The sequence below is a fragment of the Homo sapiens genome, chromosome 1 (assembly GCF_000001405.40).
Source record: "Homo sapiens chromosome 1, GRCh38.p14 Primary Assembly".
NCBI classification, from domain to species: domain Eukaryota; kingdom Metazoa; phylum Chordata; class Mammalia; order Primates; family Hominidae; genus Homo; species Homo sapiens.
The window spans coordinates 226,043,003-226,046,330 of record NC_000001.11 but is presented as its reverse complement, the minus strand read 5'-3'; positions in this window follow the sequence as shown (position 1 = coordinate 226,046,330).

The window sequence follows — 3,328 nt, the reverse complement described above, 5'->3', positions numbered from 1 at the left end:
CATCTATCCTATTAGTTCTGTCCCTCTGGAGAACTCTGACTGCTGATACACATAGCAAGACCCCGTCTCTAAAAAAAAGAGAGAAAGGCACATTGGAAAATAGAGAATAGATCAAGAAAACAATCCACTCATAATTCCATTACCCTATCACTACCACTAGTAGCATTCCAAAAAGGTTTTCATTATTAATTCAGGTTGGTGCTATAGTGGGTACACAGGGTCAAGGGGAAGGTACCTGCAAAGTCTAAGTGAAGCAAAGACTATCCTTTGAGAATGAAATTAGGAAAAATTGTTGAGATCAGCCCTCTATAGCAATGGCCCAATCTATGAAACTGAAATAACTTTGCTGAGACATTTCAGCTTTCTCATCTGTAAAATGGCAATAATACTTGAATTCCCTCCTTTTCAGACTTGTTGTGAGATTAAAATAAAATAATAAAAAGCAACAAATTATAAAGTCATTAGTAAATGGATGTATCCTACTGTGTCATGATTATCCAATTTATTTAAATGACATAGGCAATCAAATTTCATAATTCAGGATTTAAAAAATTGTACTTGGGGCCTCTCAATTCCTTTCCTGTCTGATTTGGTGAAATATAATAGGTAGGTAGTTGGTAAATAAGTCTTGTTTCTCACAGGTTGTATATATCTATCTGGTTGGAAATAAAATAAAGATATGGCAGACTAATGCCTATTTGCACGTGCTTTTAGAACATCTCTACTGTACTGTAGCACCATTAGATGATTAGTATTAGTAACTAATGCTCTGGAAGTATGAGAATAATAAAATAATGATGAAAACAAAAAGAATAAAGAAAAATAGAATACTCATACTTTATTATAGTTTTGTATTCTTTTTTCTAACTTTAAAAAAAATTTATTATAGCCACACTGAGAAACAGTCTATAAAAAAATGAAAACAATTCTTATTTTTTAGAGACAGGGTCTCACTCTGTTGCTCAGACTGGAGTGCTATGGCATGATCATAGCTCACTGCAGCTTTGAACTCCTGAACTCACGCAATCCTCCCACCGCAGCCTCCTGATTAGCTAGGACTACAGATGCACACTACCATGCCCAGCTAACTTTAAATTTTTTTTTTTTTTTTTTGTAGAGAGAGGGTTTGTTTTGTTGTCCATGCTGGTCTCAAACTCCTGGCCTCAAGCAATCCTTTTGCCTCAGCCTGCCAAAGTCCTAGGATTATAGGTGTGAGCCACCACCTCCAACTTAGGTTTGTATTATAAAATTAACCTCAGAAGCAAATCACTGCTCCAGACTCTGTGAAACCATGTGATCTTGGTCTATTTTGTGTTGCCATAACAGAACACTTGAGACTGGGTAATTTATAAACAAAAGAGGTTTATTTGGCTCACAATTCTGCAGGCTGGGAAGTTCAAGGGCATGGCCCTGGCCTCTGGTGAGAGCTTCCATGCTGCAACATAACATGGTAGGGAAGGTCAAAAGGGAAGTGAACACATGTGAAGAGGGAGAACCTGAGGGATGTCTCAGCTTCATAAACAACCCACTCTCACTGGAACTAATCCTTTCCGACAGGAACTAATCCAGTCTTACACCAAGCCATTCATGAGGGATCCCCCCCATGATCCAGACACCTCCCACTAGGCCCACCTCTCAGCACCACCACATGGGGGATCAAATTTCAACACGAGTTTTGGTGGGGACAAACAAACCATGTCCCAGCCACGCCACATGTGGCACACCAAAGCAGAAACATAAACATATGAACAGCTGTTTTAGAGAAAGTCTGTTTTCTATGCTGCCAGAAATACAAAGCAACGGTACTTATTCTGATGGGTTCTTGAGTTATTTCAATCTTTTCCACATATTTCCTAAGCATCATTCCTTCATGTACAATTAGATGGCCCTCAGGCTTCATCCCATCAGAGATCAGAGTCAAATCCCTATGAAATGAGTTGAATTTCATCCTCCCAAAATTCACATGTTAAAGTTCTAACCCATAGCACTTCAGAATGTGACGTGATTTAGAAATAGGGTCATTACAGGACAAGTGCAGTGGTTCATGCCTATAATTCCAGCACTTTGGGAGGCCAAGGCAGGAGGATTGCTAGAGCTCAGGAGTTTGAGACTGGCCTGAGCAACATGGCAAAACCCCATCTTTGCAAAATACACAAAAATTAGCCAGACATGGTGGTGCGTGCCTGTAATCCCAGCTACTTGGGAGGCTGAGGCACGAGAATTGCCTGAACCTAGTAGGTGGAGGTTGTAGTGAGCCAAGATTGTGCCACAGCACTCCAGCCTGGGTGACAGAGTGAGACTCTGTCAAAAAAAAAAAAGAAAGAGGAAGGAAGGAAGGAAGGAAGGAGAAATAGGTCATTACAGATGTAATTAGTTATTTAAAAAAAATAAGAAATAGGGTCATTACAGATGTAATTAGTTAAAATGAGGTCATACTGGAATAGGGTGGGCCCCTAATCCAATATGACTGGTGTTCTTTTTTTTTTTTTCTAAACAATATTGTATAAAGACTGGTGTTCTTATCCAAGGGAGAAATTTGACAGACATGCATAGAGGAAAGATGGTGCAAAGAGACACAGGGAGAAGACGGCTACCTACCAGCCAAAGAGAGAGGCCACAGACAGATTCCCTTACAGCTCTCTGAGGACCAAGCAGCCCTTCTGACACCTTGATTTCAGACTTCCAGCCTCCAGAATGCGAGACAATACATTTCTGTTGTTTAAGCTATCCAGGCTGTTGCCCTTTGTTATGGCAGCAAAAAAATACACCTTTCTTGTAGGAGATACTTATTTGTGATTAGTTCCAGAGGAAGAACTTCCTGGAGAAGGTGGGCAGGTCAGTGGGAGCTCAGCCCCTCACATGGGGCTGTTGGCCTTCAGGCTGCCAAGGCCCATCCAACACTTGAGACGGTTAATGGCACCCATGTAAGGCCAGGGATTTGGGGAAGATGATTTCCCTCCATCTCTGGCACAGACTGATCCTGGCCTAAAGTAACTCACATTATGCTTCCTCTCTTGACCTACACTTGACTGCCATTACTGAGACAAGACCGGCACATGGCCAGGCACAGTGGATGGCTCATGCCTGTAATCCCAGCACTTTGGGAGGCCAAGGCGGGTGGATCACTTGAGGTCAGGAGTTTGAGACCAGCCTGGCCAACATGGTGAAACCCGTCTCTACTAAAAATACAAAAAAATAGCCAGGCGTGGTGGTATGTGCCTGTAATCCCAGCTACTCGGGAGGCTGAGGCAGGAGAATCACTTGAACCCAGGAGGTAGAGGTTGCAGTGAACCAATTTTGCACCATTGCATTCCAGCCTGGGTGACAG